Source organism: Homo sapiens, chromosome 1 (assembly GCF_000001405.40).
Source record: "Homo sapiens chromosome 1, GRCh38.p14 Primary Assembly".
NCBI lineage: Eukaryota > Metazoa > Chordata > Mammalia > Primates > Hominidae > Homo > Homo sapiens.
The window spans coordinates 222,623,825-222,641,231 of record NC_000001.11 but is presented as its reverse complement, the minus strand read 5'-3'; the positions used below and the strand labels follow the sequence as shown (position 1 = coordinate 222,641,231).

General features: G+C 39.8%; 1 protein-coding gene across 7 annotated transcripts in view; it reads right to left on the bottom strand.

Moving 5' to 3' along the window:
• Positions 1–17,407, bottom strand: part of MIA3 (MIA SH3 domain ER export factor 3) — a 49,911-nt gene that overhangs the window by 26,776 nt on the left and 5,728 nt on the right. For all 7 annotated transcript variants that reach the window (NM_001324064.2, NM_001324062.2, NM_198551.4 and 4 more), the window contains 4 exons: positions 16,378–16,464; positions 10,843–13,657; positions 8,906–9,067; positions 7,983–8,128 (listed from right to left, as the gene is read on the bottom strand). In NM_001324064.2, the coding sequence (NP_001310993.1) occupies positions 7,983–8,128; positions 8,906–9,067; positions 10,843–13,519 (2,985 nt within the window). In that variant the 5' untranslated portion in view covers positions 13,520–13,657; positions 16,378–16,464. The remainder of the gene's footprint in view (positions 1–7,982; positions 8,129–8,905; positions 9,068–10,842; positions 13,658–16,377; positions 16,465–17,407) is intronic.

The following is a 17,407-nucleotide window of genomic DNA, read 5'->3' as shown; positions in this document are numbered from 1 at the left end:
ATGTGTCTCAGGTAAATGTTTAGGAGAAGAATGGCTGGATCATATGACCAGTGTAGGTTTACCTTCTTAAGAAACTGACAAGCTGTTTTTCAAGATAGCTGTACCACTTCACATCCCCATCAGCAGTGTATGATACTTCCATTTCCTCCACATCTTCTCCAACACATGGTAAAATCAGTTTTTGAAATTTTAGCCATTATAGTAAGTGTGTAGTGGTAACTCATTCTGCTTTAAATTGGCATTTCCCTGATAATTATGGTGAACATTTTTAAATGTGCTTACTTGCAATTGGTATATCTTCCTTGGTAAAGTGTAATTTTACTGCATTACATTTTTTTAGATGAATTTTGAGAGTTCTTTATGTATTCTGAATACAAATATTTTATCAGATAGATGCTTTGCAGTGACTCTTTCCCAGTCTGTAGTTTGTATAACAGTGTGTTTTGAAGAGATGTTTTTATTTTGATTAAATCCAAATAATCAAATTTCTCCTTTATGAATCATACTTTTGATGTCAACTGTAAGAAATCTTTGCCAATCCAAGTTCAACAAAATTTTTCTCTTAATTTTTCCTAGAAGTTTTATGGTTTTAGGGTTTACATTTAAGTCTATTATCTGCTTTGAGTTAATTTATGTACATCATGTGAGGTATGGATCAATTTTTTGCATATAAATATCTAATAGTTTTGGTACCATTTGTTGAAAAGACTTTCCTTTGTACATTTAATTGTCTTTCCACCTTTGTCAGAAGTCCACTGTCATACATGTATATTTCCAGATTTTCTATTTTGTTCCAATGGTCTATTCATCTGCTGTCTTACTTACTAGAGCTTTATAGTAAGTCTTGAAATTACATGATGCTTGGGCTATTCTAGGTCCTCTGCATTTTCCATATGAATTGTAGAATCAGCTTGTCATTTAAAAAAAAATCCTTCTGAGATTTTAATTGGGGCTATGTTAATGCAAGTGATCAAATTGGGGAGCTTAACAATATAGTCTTCTGACTCATAAACAAGGTCTATCTCTCCATCTATTTAGGTCTTCTTTAATTTCTATCAGCAATATTTTATAGTTTTTAATGCATATGTCTTACACACTTTTTGCCACATTTATCCATAAGTACTCCATATTTTTGATACTATTGTACATGGAATTTAACTTCAATTTCCAATTGTTCATTGCTACGATATATAAATACAATTGCTTTTAGATGTAAATCTTTATCTAGCAACCTTACTAAACTAGATTTTTTTCTACATCCCACCAGATTTTATGCATGTTGTCTGCAAAAAAAGACAATTTTACTTATTTCCCAATCTGGATGCATTTTATTTCTTTTTCTTGCCTTAGTGCACTGGCTATTGCCTTATAACACTGAACAGATGTAATGAGAGTAGACATTCTTGTTTCACTTCTGGATCTTGGGGGAAAAACATTCAATCATTCACTATTAAGTATGATGTTTAAGTCTTTCATAAAAGTGATTTAAGTTCCCTTCCATTCCTAGTTTGTTGATATATTGTTTTTTAAATTACATAGTAATCAATTTTAGATTTTTTTCAAAGTGGTTTTCTGTGTTTGTTGAACTGAACATATGGATTGTCTTTTTAAAGTTTGTCATTATGGTTAATTACACTGATTTTCAAATGTTAAACAAACTTTGTATTCTTGATGTTAACCCTATTTGGTCATAGAGTATTTTCCTTTTTATATATTGCTGGATTTGATTTGCTAAAATTTTTGTTTAGAATTTTTGTACCAATGTTTATGAGAGATACTGGTCTGTGGTTTTCTTTCTTACTTGTCTTTGTCTTTGCCTTGTTTTGATATCCTGGTAACATCAGCTTCATACAATGAGCTGGGAAGTATTTTCTCCTCTTCAGTTTAATAGACAAGTTTGTGTAGAATTTGTAGTATTTCTTCCTCTTAAGTTTAATAGAATTCAGCAGTGAAGCCATCTGGGTTTTCTTTGTGGAAAGGTTTTTAGCTGTAAATCCAATTTACTTAATAGTCATAAGGTTATCTGTTTCTTCCTGAATGAGCTTTTGCAGTCTGTGTCTTAGATAGAATTTCTTCATCTAAATTGTCAAATTAGTTGACATAAATTGCTCATAATATTCCCTTATTATAATTAACATCTGAAGAATATGTGGTGATGTCTCTCTGATTGCTGCTATTGGTGATCTGTATTCCCTCTCTTCTTTCCCTGTTCACTTTGGCTATAGGTTAATCAGTTTTATTAATCTCAAAGAACCAGGTTTTGGTTACATTGATTTTCTCTCTTTTCCTTTTGTTTTCTATTTCACTGAATTATGCTCTTATCTTCATTATTTCTTTTCTCCTGTTTACTTGAGGATTAATTTGCTTTTCTTTTTCTAGTCTCTTATGGTGGAAAATAAAGTCACTTATTTGAGACCTTTCCTTTTTTTTCTAATATAGGTAGTGCTATACATTTCCCACTCGTTCTTTGGCGACATTGTACACACTTGATATATTTGTTTTCATTTTCTTGTCTTTATTTTTTTTTCTTTTCTTGAGACAAGGTCTCATTCTGTCACCCAGGCTGGAGTGCAGTGGTACAATCTCTGCTCACTGCAGCCTCGACCTCCTGGGCTCAAGCAACCTTCCCACTTCAGCCTCCTGAGTAGCTGGGACTACAGACACGTGCCACCATGCCCAGCTGTGTGTGTGTGTGTGTGTGTGTTTTGTAGAAACAGGATTTCACCATGTTTAGGCTGGTCTTGAAGTTCTGGGCTCAAGTGATCCTCCTGCCTCAGCCTTCCAAAGTGCTGGGATGCCACTGCGCCTGGCCTGTTTTCATTTTCATTCATCTCAAAATACTAATTTCTCCTTTTCCTTTTAAACTCATAAGATGTTCAGAAAGAAGTGTGTCACCTAGTTTCCAAATATTTGGGGATTTTCCAGATATTTCCATTATTCATTTCTAACTTAATTATATTGTGAAGAGAACAGACTTTGTACTACTTGAATCATTTTATATTCATTAGACTTGTTTTATGGCTGATAATATAGTTTATTTTGGTAAACGCTTCATGTGCACTAAAAAGTATATAATATGTATTCTGCTCTTCTTGGGTGGAATGTTCCATAAACATCAATAATGTCAAGTTGGTTAATGATGATGTTCATAACTTCTAGATCCTTATTGACTTCCTATTCTATCAGTTATTGAGAAGGGATACTGAAATCTCCAATTATAATTGTAAATTGATCATCAATAAGAATAACTGGCCAGGCATGGTGGCTCATGTCTGTAATCCCAACACTTAGGGAGGCTGAGGCAGGCAAATTACTTGAGCCCAGGATTTTGAGACCAGACTGGGAAACATGGCAAAACCCCGTCTCTACAAAAAATATAAAAAATGGTAGCACACACCTGTAGTCCCAGCTACTCAGGAGGCTGAGGTAGGAGGATCACCTGAGCCCAGAGAGGTCGAGGCTGCAGTGAGCCATGATCACACCACTGCACTCCAGCCTGGGAAACAGGGTGAGACCCTATCTTAACCAAAAAAAAAAAAAAAAAAAATTATTCTTGATTGGATAGAAACACACCAAATATTTTTAAATCCATGACAGCATAATGATTATTAGAAAGAGTCAGAAAAAAACAAAACCCTTTGGGCATCATTTGATAATGCCACGAATGAGTTGTCTAACTCGTTATTTTGAAAACTGTTTAAATAAACAAAAAGAATCAAATATTTACCCTGCCTTAACTATACAAGCCAAATCTCAGTGTAAAGAATACTTGATCATAAGTTTCTCTTTGTAGAAATACCCCAGCCTTTAAATGAAGGAGGAACAATATAAAGAGAATTTTAAAAAAAGAGGGACACCCAGATGTTAAATGCCTCCTGATGGAAGTACATAACATCTCCTATTAAGTATTCTTGACAAACAAAATTGAATCTGAATTTGACTACTGATGCAACTATCAATTCCCAGGAAATATAAAGAACCAGAGAAAAATGTTAAAATACACCAGGGGGATGTAGTCAGCAAAATCTAGACCATCATATACCTTAGAAGCCAAACAAAACTGTTTCTTCAATGAATGCACTGCAATAATAACAGAAAGAACTCCATAGACAGTAACTGGTATGAGACTCACCCTCCCACTGAAAGCAACAAGCAAACTAAACAAAAGATATTTAAAAACTGTTTTTCATATAGAGAACAACAGGCAGCACACAATTGTGACCCCTGAGAGAAAAGAAACAAATAGGTGAGCTCTACAACCTCCCAGCTTTCTACCTGGCGGTACTTTCTTGACTTCAGTGCAGGGATAGGGAACCCAAGCAGAGTACACCAATCTTGCAGAGGAGGCAGAGATTAAAGCTCGGGGAGACTGAGGCATCTGAAATATGCAGGAAAAGGTACCAGAAAGATGGATACTATGGGCTGGGCACAGTGGCTCACACCTGTAATCCCAGCACTTTGGAAGGCCGAGGCCGGTGGATCACGAGGTCAGGAGTTCGAGACCAGCCTGGCCAAGATGATGAAACCCTGTCTCTACTGAAAAATACAAAAATTAGCCGGGTGTGGTGGCGGGTGCCTGTAATCCCAGCTACTTGGGAGGCTAAGGCAGGAGAATCGCTTGAACCCGGGAGGTGGAGGTTGCAATGAGCCAAGATGGCACCGCAGCACTCTAGCCTGGGCAACAGAGCAAGACTCTATCTCAAAAAAAAAAAAAAAAAAAAAAAAGATGGACACTAGGAACAAGTAGAGTTCCAGAAATATGCAAGGAGGTCTCTCCTTCAGCCTCAGCCTGAATTCTAAACAGCTCCTGTGTAGGGTAAGATTCCTTGAGGATGGGCAAAGAATAACTAAAGGAAAAAAGAACAACTGTAAGCTAAACAATTCCCAGAGTTGTCACAGGGCTGCAAGACATTTAAATTCCAGCTAGTCAGAGTGAACTGACACACAAAAAACTATGGCCAATAAGCAGTGAAAAAGTGCTCAATATCATTAATCATCAGGAATTACAATTAAAACCAGAAAGGCATACCCACTACAATGGCTAAAATTTAAGACTGATAATACCAAGTGTTAGGGAAGGTGTGGTCAAATGGAAGTTTCATTAACTGCTGATGGAAGTATAAAATGGTACAGTCACTTTTGGGAATTATTGGGTGATGGTCCCACGGATTCTCTGCTTTTGTATATTTGAAATTTTCCAGGATAAAATGCTAAAATAAATTAAAGTATAACTTCAAATATTTAAAGGATTACTATGTAAAAAGAAAACTAGATTCTATAGAGGAAATCATCTGGAGGAAAATTTGGAGTCAGTATAAGAATGAAATAGGCAACAAAGGAATGTATAGCCTTGCAAGGTAGGCGGCTTACACTAGGAACCGGTGACGCACAGGTCCCAAAATGGCAGGGTTAGAGTACAGGGAATTGCTGTGACTACTGAGAAGTTGGACTAGTAGCTTCTAAGGTCTCTTCCAACCCTAAGATTCCACTAACTATTCATCAATTATTGATCTACGAGTCTGACCTCTGGTATAGTTTTCCCAATAAAGTCAGCACCCCATTACTCCAAAACCCTATGAAACAATTATCTATATGAACTACTTGATACTTTGCATAAACTATTTCCTATATTCTCCACTTTCTCCAATTTTCACATGTATTTGGTAAACTTTTTTTGAAGACTTTCAAAAGTCAGAATTACACTTTATACCTCTTGGAATCTTGTATTCCTAGCACAATTTCTGGTACATATTTAGCCATCAAAATGCTCTTTTGACAATCCCTCTCAAGTCGGCATCTTATAACACTGCGCCCTTATATCTTGCCATTCATGTCTGTCATTCCCTGTTATCCCCTGATCACAGATCGTATCCTACACCACTCCTATATGCCCCAACCCAGGCCTAGAAGAGGGCTCTGTGCGTATCTAGAAATACAATGAATAAAGAATTCCTTCTACAACTGGGGCTGTTAAATTTTTCAAGTGATAATTTCACTCTGAAAACCAAATTCTGAATTCTGAGACTGTCTTAATCCCTGAAAACTTCATTATTCCAACTGCAAAGATAATACACACCTTCACCCAGGTGGCTATCACCAGAACAAACATGAATAATACTGAAAAATGGTTTGGTTTTCCTACTTGTTTTCCATCCTGGTGGTCTTTCTCCTGAAACCCTCAGGTATTCAATGTCTTTATATGCCCTCTGACCATCCAAATGAGAATTAGGTGAGGGATGAGATCTTACAAAATGCCAGTTGCTACACCAGACATTTTACATTATCATGTCATTTAATTCTTACCAACAATTGGAGTATGTATTATCTAAATTTTTCAGATGAGAAAGTTGAGGTTCAAAGTTTAGTAATTTGCCCTAAACTTCTAATCGATAGCTTTGGGATTTGAAATAAAATCATCTTGGCTTGAAACCCATGGATTTTAACAGAAAAACAACAAGAACGCTCTTTCCTATTCGAGTCTTGAAATAACAGAACCTAAAGGAAATGGCTTTGGTGAGAAGCATACTTTCTCTGTAGCCCTAAGGGCAACCTGGCCTCCAACTTCAAGAGCTTGCTTAGTCCTCTAATTTACCAAGAAAAAAAGTCCAATTCCACCGAGTACCACAAGGGGGAGCTAAGTCCTAAAAAGCCTAGATAAGCTTCTAGACATTAAATGTCTCATTTGGAGCATGGCTCCCTTTAGAAAGATCTGAATAAATATTCTGCCATAAGTGACTCTTTCTAAGAAACAGACCTGACAATCCCTTTCCTGCTTAAAATCTTCCAAGGATCTCTGCCAACAATGGTCTGACCACTCACTATGGTGTACAATTTCCTTTCTGACTTTCCCTGAGTCCCTCCAACAGACCTTCTCCCTCCTAACTCCATACTTTTTTATTTTTATTTTTTCTGAGGCAGGGTCTTGCTCTGTCGCTCAGGCTGGAATGCAGTGGCACGATCTCAGCTAATTGCAACCTCTGCCTCCCGGGCTCAAGCTATTCTCCTGCCTCAGCCTCCCAAGTAGATGGGATTACAGGTGTGCACCACCCTGCCCAGCTAATTTTAACTCCACACTTTAACAACACCAACTGGCCGGGAATGGTGGCTCACGCCTGTAATCCCAGCACTTTGGGAGGCCAAGGTGGGCAGCTCCCATGGGCTCAGGAGTTCGAGACCAACCTGGGCAACATCACAAAACCCCACCTCTACAAAAAATAGCCAGGCATGGTGGTGCACACTTGTGATCCCAGCTACTCAGGAGACTGAAGCAGGAGGATCGCCTGAGCCCAGGAGGCAGAGGTTGCAGTGAGCTGAGATCACGCCAATGCACTCCTGCCTGGGCAACAGAGCAAGACCCTGTCTCAATTTAAAAAAAAAAGAAAAAGAAAAAACACCAACTACCCACGCTTCCCTGGCTTCCCCAAATAACCTTTTCTTCATGCCTCCATTTCTCTGAATGTGTTATTTCTTCTGCCTGACTGCATGCTGCCCGCCCCCCTGCCCACATCCTTCCCCTAGCCCTTCTATTTGACAACTCCAAGTCAAGCTCCCATCTCTTTCGAATCTGCTTAAAGCATATCTCAGCGAATTTCTGGCCTTTCCTATCACTCTCCCTCCACGATGAACCAATTTATGCCACAGATTGTTCTACCATCAGGTAAATACTTCTCTTCCTGCCCATTATCATGTTACATTTCAAGTGACTGTCTTTCTCTCCTGGCTAAACTGAAAGGTCCCTGAAAGGAAGAACCACGTTTGACAGGTGTGCTTGTGCCCAGCTCCAGCATGCAGCAAAGCCTCCTCATGTGCTGAACTAAGAGCCCATTAAAGCCACACACCTGTGGCTCATTTCAGGGTCTCTCTTCAAAGGATCAGGAGTCAGGTTCATAAAGACATTTTAAGTTCTTCACCTCATGCTCAAAATCAACTTAAAAACTGTAATAATCAACATTTTAGTTAAAAAAAAACTATGTTAAACTTACCGACTTAGTTAAATAAAACATGAATGAATATATTAGAAGGATTGCGTTTTCCAAAGGTGTGACACTTGCCGGCTCTTCGGCGGCTGTCTCTGGTTGCTTGTTTGCATCAATAGCATCCATAGGAGTGTCTTCTGTTGTAACTGGCCCTGGAATTGGGAGGAAAGATAGACATTTTGTGCTTTAGAATAAGAATTCTCTTTAAAAAATACTTATTGAGTATCCACTAAATATTAGGCACTGTGCCTGGAAAGTAAACGTTCTCATCTCTCACTGGATGTTTACTGTGCACTGTGGTGAAATACTCTTTGTGTCGGTCTATCCTGGACTATTACACACTACAGTGTTCTGTACTGTCTCCTATGAGCTTATGCTATAAACATACTTGGACCCCTTCACTGTATTTTAAGAAGTTTTACTTACCATGTCCAGATAGCAAATCAAAAAAAAGAACTGCATTGCATTGTATTTTATTTGGAAAGAGAGGGGTAAAGTAGAGGAAAAACAGAATTTGTGAGTTTTAGAGCAGTGGTTCTCCAACTGTAATTTGCATCAGGTCAGTCTTTCCTGGAGGGCTTGTTAAACACAGATTGCCGGTTCCACCCCCAGAGTTTCTGATGCTGCTGGGCTGGTTGAAAACTACTGTTTTAGAGCATAAGGCCTTTTAAGAATAATATTTTAGATTGAAATAATTTACACAAGATAGTGACAGCCAAACATTGGTTTGTAGGTTAGTTATAGTCTCTGGTGTCTTTCCTATTTTTGATCTCCATCTGTCTTGACGCCTGCTTTTCTCTCAATTAGCTCTGGGATCCTTTTTTCCTTTGAATTTAACAAGTCTCTAGCTCCTGCCTTTGACAATGAATCTCCTAGAAGGCCTTCTTTATGATTTCTCCACTTTGTAGAAAAAAATTAGCAGGCTTTACCTGGGTCCAGGTCTTTCTCAGTATTTGGCTTCTGTGACACTTCTGAGGCATGAGTGTCCCCAATCACACGTTGGTCCAAGTGGGTGGGTTCTTCAGGAACCTGCACATTAAGTTCTGCTGTCTTCTCTCGTGAGAAATTATCTTCATGCAGTGGTTGCATCTCTAGGGTGAGAAGAATACACTGGGCTAGCACAGCTTGATGACACTACCTGTTAGGCTAATCCCACTGACCACACCAGGGCACCTCAACATTGACCTCCATGCATGGGCATCCCATGGAGCACAACTGGGCAGGGAAATAAGAGTTTCAGTTTCTTTTATTCCATTTAAAGGATGACTAATCTACATAATAAAATCTACAGAGGAGTATTTCATAAATAAATACATTTATGGTAGGGACTTCAGTAACATCTTTCCTTGGCAAATCAGCCTACACCCACACAAATAAATGTGCAAATGAGAATTCCACTCAAGAGCAGAAATGTGAAACATCTATTCTGCAGAGAAGTAACATGAACTCTTGCATACCCTAGCATGCCTTTCTCACAGAACTAGTACAGACAGGGACATTCCACGCCAAGGCAGCTTGCTGAGATGTCTTTCGAATACTTTCAAAGTACCTCTAAGAGTCAAACAAAGTGAAGCCATCTCCTCTCCTAAGAGGCTTAGGGGACAGTCCAATGTGATCCACAGCAAAGGTGAATTTCCTTGTAGCCTCATATTTTACCCTGAAAATTCATCTGAATATTGCCTTCTTATCCAAAATATATGTTTTAATTAAATGCAAAAAAGTTCTCCTCCCCCATTTCTTAGGAAAAATTAGCACTCTGGAGTAATACGTTTTCCTGTGGCTTCCTGTCCCCTTGGTACTCTCAATTCAGATACATCTGTCTGAAAAGCCTGGATATACCAGGTGCGGTAGCTCACACCTGTAATCCCAGTACTTTGGGAGGCCAAAGTAGGAGGGTCACTTGAGGCCAAGAGTTCAAGATCAACCTGGGCAACATACCAAGACCCTGTCTCTACAATAAATAAAAATTATTTGGGCACAGTGATGCATGCCTGTAGTCCTAGCCACTTAGGAGGCTGAGATGGGAGGTTCGCTTGGGCCTAGGAGTTGGAGGCTGCAATGAGTTATGATCATGCCACTGTACTCCAGCCTGGGTGACAGGGTGAGAGCCTGTCTTAAGAAAAAAAAAAAGAAAAGAAAAAAAGAAAGAGGAAGGAAGGAAGGAAGGGCAGGTGGGCAAAGGGAAAGAAAAGAAAAGAAAAGAAAGAGAAAAGCCTGGATGCAGAGAATAGAACAAGGAACTAGGAATCAGAATGCTTATGTCAGGATATTGGCTCGGGGTTAATTCAACTGAATGGCTTCCACGCATCAAGCACTGCATTCGAAGGCATCCCTGTCCCAATCTTGATTAATCTGCATGCAAGAACCTTACGGCCCAGGAGGGTTTAACTGGAGTAAGTGCTCCCAAGAAACAGGAAGAACAAGCCATCCACAAAAGATAAAATTGGGGAGAACGTAGGAATTTAGCCAAGGCATTGATCTAAAAGTTATACCAGTCAATCCATGGTTACAGAGCAGTTATCTGACGACTGAAAAATTGTGTTCAATAAAACCCTTTCATAATTTTACATGACATTTGTATTTTGTATATTACTTTCTGGTTTATATCTTTCTCTTTAGCTTTTTACAAAGTTTCCTTTTGAAAATGCTAACCAGTCTCAACTATTCTAAGGGAAACGGCAAGAAATTCTTCTCCATGCTCCAGCCTAAAAGAAAGATGGCAGGAAGGAACATGTGGACCTCCCTGTGTTGTCCCTCTCCTTTAGGCACATTGGAAACTGAACAGAGCTTCACAAGATAGGAGGCACCTCAGCGACCCACCCACCTGCTTCTCCAGCCCTGTTCTACAAGGCCATAGGCATCTCACCTTCCATTGCTCCACCCAAGCCTTCCTCTAGAGGTGGTGCCATCACCAGTGTGGCTGTCTCCTCTGCTGTGGAGTGCTTGTACCTGACAAAATAGATGAGGTCTTGAATGTCATCAAGCACTGCAGCCTCTTCAAATATGTTATTTTCGTTCATTCCCAGATCTCTATTTTCAGCCACACGAGTATCAAGCATTTTTTCTGCTATGCTCAGAATTTGTGACTCAGAAGCACGGAAGACCTTATCTAGGACTTTTTCCATATTATAGGGCAGGCTCTCCTGCTGCGCTGACTTCAGTTTTGATGACATTTCTTGTAGCAAGGCTTCCAGCTCATGGACATTAAAGTACTTCTGGAACCGCTGCAAAGACTGTTGTTCTTTAAAGAAGCTGCTTATGATAAGTAAGTCCTCCCTCTTGTCACTATGCCCTGGCTCTACACTTGTATGTGGAGTCCAGTGGAACGAGTCATCTTCAGGTTCTGCAGCAGCAGACCCCTGGCTTTCTGTGCCCATGTACTTCTCTGTGTTCTCATGGTCCTCTTTTGAGAGTTCTCCCTCAGGCTCCCCTGCAAGCCCTGAGGTCTTCAGATGTTCCTCAGGGTTGTCGTTCTTCAGATAATCAGAATCTTTATTCTGAAACACTTCACCTAATTCTGGAGTCTGAATTTTTATGCTGTCAGAAAAGTCACTTCGTTCAAATGGTCTCTGTGCTTTCTTATCTGCCAGAGGGCGTTCTTTTTCCACCATTGTATTTGGTTCCCTGCCTCCTGTGTTGACCCCTTTGGCAGCAGTCTCACTTGTTTTTTCGCTATCCAAAATCATACTAGTTTCTTGCTTGCTTTCTTCAATTTCTGGATCTGGATGAATGGTCCCTAAAACTGCTCTGTCAGGGACTTGCAGATTAACATCAAACTGCCTGCCCTGATTCCCAGGGTTTTTTTCTTTAGACCGTTTTGCATTTATAGCGTTTTCATCCTCTAGTAGTTCTTCAGAGGGATAATCATCCTCTTCTACTTTAGAAAGGAAAGCTGGTCCTCCTGTGCTGTCAGTTTGGTCTGTCTGTCCTACCTCTGTGCCCTGCATTGCCTTGTGATGAAAAAACTCTTCATCCAAGGAGTCCTCTTTGGCTTCTCCCTCAGAGAGCCTTATCTTCTCACTCATTTGCTTACTGGCTGTGGCAGCCACATCTCTTTCTTGTTGCCAGGGAAGATTTCTTCCCAGAATGGGAACCTCGTCTTCCAGTTCTCTGGGCAAATCAATCTCATCTGGAGAGGAGAATCTAGGTTGGTTTTGAGTTTTAAGAACTAATTCCTCTTTCAATTCCTCACGTTGATGCTCCACTGAAAGCGTGTGCAGTTTGGCCCCATTTACCAAAGCGTCTCCCTCCACACTGTCTCTGGATGCGTTAGGGTGGTCATCTCCCATGAGTGGTGCACTACCCAGGGATTCCTGTTGAATCTTTCTGTCATTCATTTGATTCCCTGCAGCTTTCTGTGCAGATTCACTCTCTGAGCCACCTTCCAAAATCTGCTCTCCAGGCTTTTCTTCGTGGAGCATTCCTTTTGAGATATGAATAGCTGCTCCTTTTAGGTCATTTTCTGTATCATCATAAGCTGATTTTAATGTGTCTTTACCCTTTTCAGCAGCTGGCATAGAGTTGAGGTTATTGCTGTGAACAGAACTGTGCACAGTCATGCCTTCTTGATTTTCATCCTCTAATTCTGTCTTATCTTGTACCAGGCCCCTCTTGGATTCCTGAACTCCCCTCCCTTTTCCTTTAATGTGATGTTCTGCGTTTACTTCTTTGTCATTATTTGTTTTAGGAATGTCTACAATAAAAAGACCATCATCTACATTGTCAGGGTCACTATAATCTGTTGCTGACTGTGGTTTCCCCTGTTTGCTATCTGGGACTAATGCATCATCATCATCTTCTTTTTCTTCCTCTGAACTAGAGCTCTCTAAATCCATCGTATCTCTTGTTTCTTCACCTCCTGTGACAATAGAGAAGATAGTGTCCCCCCAGGTTGTTAGTATATTTTTATCATCATTTTTGATGCCAGGGGGCACAGTTAGCTGAACCTTGTCCTCTTCATTTGAATTCTGCTCTTTATCTGTTGGATATTTCTCAACGCCAGACTTTGCTGGAGTTTTCATATCTTCCCCATCTGTAAAGGTAAGTAATGGCAACTCATCAAAGTCTTCTTGGTTCTCCTCATCTTCCTTTCCAACTGCATAATACTCAGTATCCAATTCCTCATCAAAATCATCTTCTAATGAAGTAACGAGTCTGGTTGTCTCATCATCAGATACAAGTGCATCAGCTGTTGAGCCAAATTTGGTTTTCAAGTCTAGAGTCATTTCTTTTTTCAAAAGTTTATAGGCATCAATCTTATCCTGTTCATTTGAGACCTGAGAACTATTGCTGGTTTTGTTGTTTTCACTTTCTGGCACTTTTAGTTTATCTTGCAGCATTTCTTCAAAAGATTCAAATGAAGCCTGCTCTCCCTGAGCATGATTTGCTTGGCTGTTTGCATGGGAGTGGTGCTTCTGAGTTGTAAACTGTTCCTGAAGATCCTCAGTGTTTTCTGAGAATACACTATCACTTTCCTCTGAGTTGGCTTCTACTGGTTCAGGTTCAGGTTCCCTTTCCTTAGATAATTCAGGGTTTTTTTCCATATCCTGTAAAGTTTTTTCTACAGCTTTCTCAGAATCTGTAGCTGCAGAATTGTACAGTTCCAAAAACCCTAAAAGTTCTTCTACATTATAATTATGAAAATCATCTCTTCCTCCATCAAAACAAACAAAATCCGTCTCCTGTAAGAAAAAGAAAAACATTAGTCTGTCAATAGCCAAGTGTCACCAGAGCAAAGTCTTATCCACGTTAATGATTGAGATAATCTCGAATTCACGTTTGGCTCTAGAGGAGCTTTTGCGTCAACACTGGGCACTGACTGTTCTTGGGCAGTGGGTGGATAGGAGGCTGGAACCCACTTTCCCATCTGAGTAATACTCCTGGCTTCCCTTCATTCTCTCTTCCCCAGGGGAAGAATGATTCATGTGGCTGGTGAGTTTGCTCAGTCCCAATCCTGTTTTCTGTTTGGGACCTGCTGGAGAGGAAACACATATTCTGTTCCTCCATGCTGTCCGTTTTACAGGGACAGTCCCACCTGGGGAGACCCCTATTGGATAGCTCTGTCTGTGACTGGATAAGTCCATCTTAGTTTAGACCGCAATGTTAGAAAGCCCATTATTTCTGCATACTCCAAACAGCTTTATCAGTAAATAATGGGGTCATTTTGATCTCCTATTTGCCCAACTCCTGGGTCTCTCAATTTTGTTTTGAGCACAGGTGGGGAAAAGTAAGGTGTCATTTATTGGGTTCCCCAACTCCCATCATCTATGCCTGATGTTCTGGGAATTCACCTTATAACCCATCCAGGAGGAGCTGAAAGACCATCAGCTTCTCTACATTGTGCCCTCTATGTCATACTTCTCTGCTCACCCAGTCAGAAACAGGCAGAATCACCTGGCTGTCAGGCTCTCAGTCTACATGGATTTGGGGCTCATATTTTCCTTGGACTGGGAAAGAAATCAGCTTCAGAAGGAACTTACTGAGATACAGGTGCATGAGATATAAAAATGTAAGAGAACAAAGAATGGTGTAAAGGAGGCTCCCCATTTTCATACTGCCACAAGAACAACTTGAAAACAAGATTCAGTAAGGTAGGTACCTAACTCCAAATAAGGATTCTAGCCAGTCACTAAGATCTGCTTTCAGGACTGTCAAGTAAATCTGTATTTTTCCCTTCCTCCACCAGTAAGCAAATTGACATACAAGGAGCCATAAAATGATGGAAAAGTTAAAAAACCAACAAAGATAACTTTCTTCCCCTAACTAAACATTCACAATCTTCTGGTGAGAACTGTCCTGTGTACTGGAGATGAATGACTTCCCTCTTTCCATCATGCACACTTCTGAGCCAATTTTTTTAATATTAAGGGAATCATGCAGTGGGAACTACAATTAGTATACAGGTCAGGTCTCTGTGACCAATGAATTGCTGTCTCACACTCAAATCCCGGGCAGTCTCTTCATCAGGAGTGAAGCCAAACAGGCAATACGATTGACTATATAACCCCTGAGAGCGTCGAGAAATTTTAAGCATAGCAATAGCTCTGTGACTTCACTCTGCCAATCTCTTCTAAGAACTGCCCTAGCCCAGCAGCTTGCACGCTCTGCAGCAACTCCAAAGAGCTACTCAAAGACTTTTGAATGAAAGCAGACATCAATTACTATAAATTCTAAAACTCACAAAACAATCAGATGGGGGGCTGGGCATGGTGTTTTTTATATATATATATGAAAGGCAGCCTGTAATCCTAGCACTTTGGAAGGCCAAGGCAGATGGATCACTTGAGGTCAGGAGTTTGAGACCAGCCTGGCCAACACGGTGAAACCTCGTTCCTACTAAAAACACAAAAAAATTGGCTGGGTGTGGTGGCAGGCGCCTGTAATCCCAGCTACTCCAGAGGCTGAGGCAGGAGAATTGCTTGAACCTGGGAGGCGGAGGCTGCAGTGAGCTGGTATCGCACCACTGCACTCCAGCCTGGGCGGCAGAGAGAGACTCTGTCTCAAAAAAATAATAATCAGATGGAATGCAGATTCTAGAACACAAAATCCTTCTAGTCACGAAGCCATTGTGCACTATAGATAAATGCTCTACAGAATGTGTAGTTAGCGCCTTACAGATATGAGACTGGACCTCACCTGAAACTCTCTGGTTCCCTTTTCCAAATCTATAACTATAATCGCTTAAATCACTACAGAGTCAATAATAAGAAAACCTTTGTAAGTTTGCATTTCTGGCTCAGTATAAAATTAGAGCTTAATTAATTTAACCTGATTTCTATATCCTTAAAATGTCTAACAGCTATCCAATAAGTAGTTTTCAAATTTCTCCTTTTGCTTGTGAAATGAAATTTTTTGCCTTCTAACATTAATAAGTAAATATAAAACTACTGAACTCTTAATTTTTCACATATAAAGCAGCAAAGAAAAGCCTTGTATAAGAGTACACGGCCTTGGCCGGGCGCAGTGGCTCACGCATGTAATCCCAGCACTTTGGGAGGCTGAGGCGGGCGGATCATGAGGTCAGGAGATCGAGACCATCCTAACACAATGAAACCCCATCTCTACTAAAAATACAAAAAATTAGCCAGGCGTGGTGGTGGGCGCCTATAGTCCCAGCTACTTGGGAGGCTGAGGCAGGAGAATGGCGTGAACCCAGGAAGCAGAGCGTGCAGTGAGCCGAGATCACGCCACTCCACTCCAGCCTGGGTGACAGAGCGAGACTCCGACTCAAAAAAAAAAAAGAGTACATAGCCTTATATAAGAACATCTATTTCCATATATTAGATAACTATCAGATTATGATAAAATCTCATTTAAATTCTTTTGAAATTTTTCTTTTTTTCTAGGTAGTCACTTATAAGCCAACTTATAACTGAGAACAAGACAGAAATCCACAACTTACATCTGTTGGAACTTGTAGCTCTTCTTTGGTATATTCATGAACTACCTGGATTAAATCTTTTGGAAAATATCCAAAAGTGCGTCCAACCTACACAAAAGAATGGGCAAAAGGGACACATATCAATCAAATTCTGTATGAGAAATATGAACGATAGAGCTGCAAACCTCAATCTACAGCACATATCAAGCAATCAACTTTTTCTTGTAATGTCATTACTTTTCTCCGCTATTTGAGACCACTTCCAACATCACTAGTGACACTTTGTATGGGTCCCAGAGTGTTATTCAAGGTTTACAGTATTGCACTAAACACAAAAAATACATGAGAACCACAAGAGATCACTTTTTACTCACTGTACAATTTACTGGAGAGATGAACTGCTCACGTGGAAATGATTAGCGTCGCATGGCATTTTAAGTGGATACTCACAATACTTGAGCTCACTAGAATAGCAAGAGGAGGTGGCTACGAACTATTATAGTACAGTAGGTAGCACAATTAATTTATGCAATTATGATTTAATATTTTATCTTTACGTTTGTTTATATTTCTCTCGACTGCAAAAGGTGCCATGTAAGATCTGAGTTTGTGTGTGTACGTTTTGATAAACTGTAACTTTTTATACAGATTTGTGTATGTTTTATGGTAGTAAAGAATAAAATACACTAGGATCTACATATGGTTTACATGTCAATAACATACCTTTTTCTTAATTTTTTCAGTATTTCTAGGCTATGCGGTCTGAGAGTTTTTAACAAATTAATGCAAACCTCCACAAAATTTTACAATATATTTATTGAAAGAAATCTGCATTATAAGTGGACCCACACAGTTCAAACCTGTGTTGCCCAAGGATGAACTGTATTTGCACATATGATGTGCTATACTGCCATTTTCCAAAACGATATTACAGGTAACTGGAGACAAAACAAAATTACAGTGTAATACACACTAATCTGCCCACCAAGCTTTCATTTCATGCAAACCAAAATCTCTACAGAAAATAATTCCATTCATTTTCAGCACTAGT